We start from the raw sequence: 780 nt of genomic DNA, 5'->3' as shown, positions 1-780 counted from the left end.
TTTCCATTATGTTTAGGGACCATTGCTGGAGAGCTAATGTGATCCTTTGTTGCTGTAACTACATTCAGATTTTTCATGGTGCCAGAACTCTTGTGCTGGTTCCTTCTCATGTGGAGACACTGGCACATCTAATTTTTATATTGTTTTCATGCAGGTAGAATTTTTGTTTCTTTCCCCATAATATTATTTTTTTGTTCTTCTTTCTTTTTACCTTTTCTCATCTCTCTAGGGAGTGTGACTGTAGAGAATGCTAGGTATGCTCTTTTGGCTTTTCTTCTCTAGCCCTATGCACTTCTGTCGGACAGTTTTATTATATATTGGGCTGTGCAGTTTAACCTACAAGCCAGTAGATGGCACTTATGGGTAAGAGCAGGCTGCAGCCATGTATGTATGTATGTATGTATGTATGTATGTATGTATGTGTGTGTGTGTGTGTGTGTGTGTGTGTGTGTATATATGATCCTTGTTTTCTGGGAGAAGTTCTCTGTTGCTTCAGACAATGCTGATTCATAGAGTGCACAATGGTCCAAACTCCCTGCTTAGCCTTGGAGAGTGGGAGCCACAATGAGCAAGACAGGATCGGGCAGGTCTGAGTACCAGTCCCCTGATGGCAGACACAAGCACTAGTGCTGAAGGAGAATCCAGTGGATGGCCACCAAGCACCCAGAGGTGTGCCTAAGCATGGAGCTGGAAAACCAACTTTGTGCCAGAATTGTTGTGCTGTTTTATTCTCATCTGAAGATTTTGGCACTTCTAAGTCTTGTAATTGTTTCATGCAGG

The 780-nt window shown here is 42.4% G+C and overlaps 1 annotated feature.

Moving 5' to 3' along the window:
- Positions 208 to 267: an enhancer, noted in NCBI's record as "active region_21359". NCBI's record gives its function as "activates an Ori minimal core promoter by ATAC-STARR-seq in GM12878 lymphoblastoid cells {active_cell/tissue: GM12878}" and the evidence as "EXISTENCE:reporter gene assay evidence [ECO:0000049][PMID:35858748]".

The sequence above is a fragment of the Homo sapiens genome, chromosome 4 (assembly GCF_000001405.40).
Source record: "Homo sapiens chromosome 4, GRCh38.p14 Primary Assembly".
NCBI lineage: Eukaryota > Metazoa > Chordata > Mammalia > Primates > Hominidae > Homo > Homo sapiens.
The sequence above is the reverse complement of the archived record's forward strand: the minus strand, read 5'-3'. Positions and strand labels throughout refer to the sequence as shown.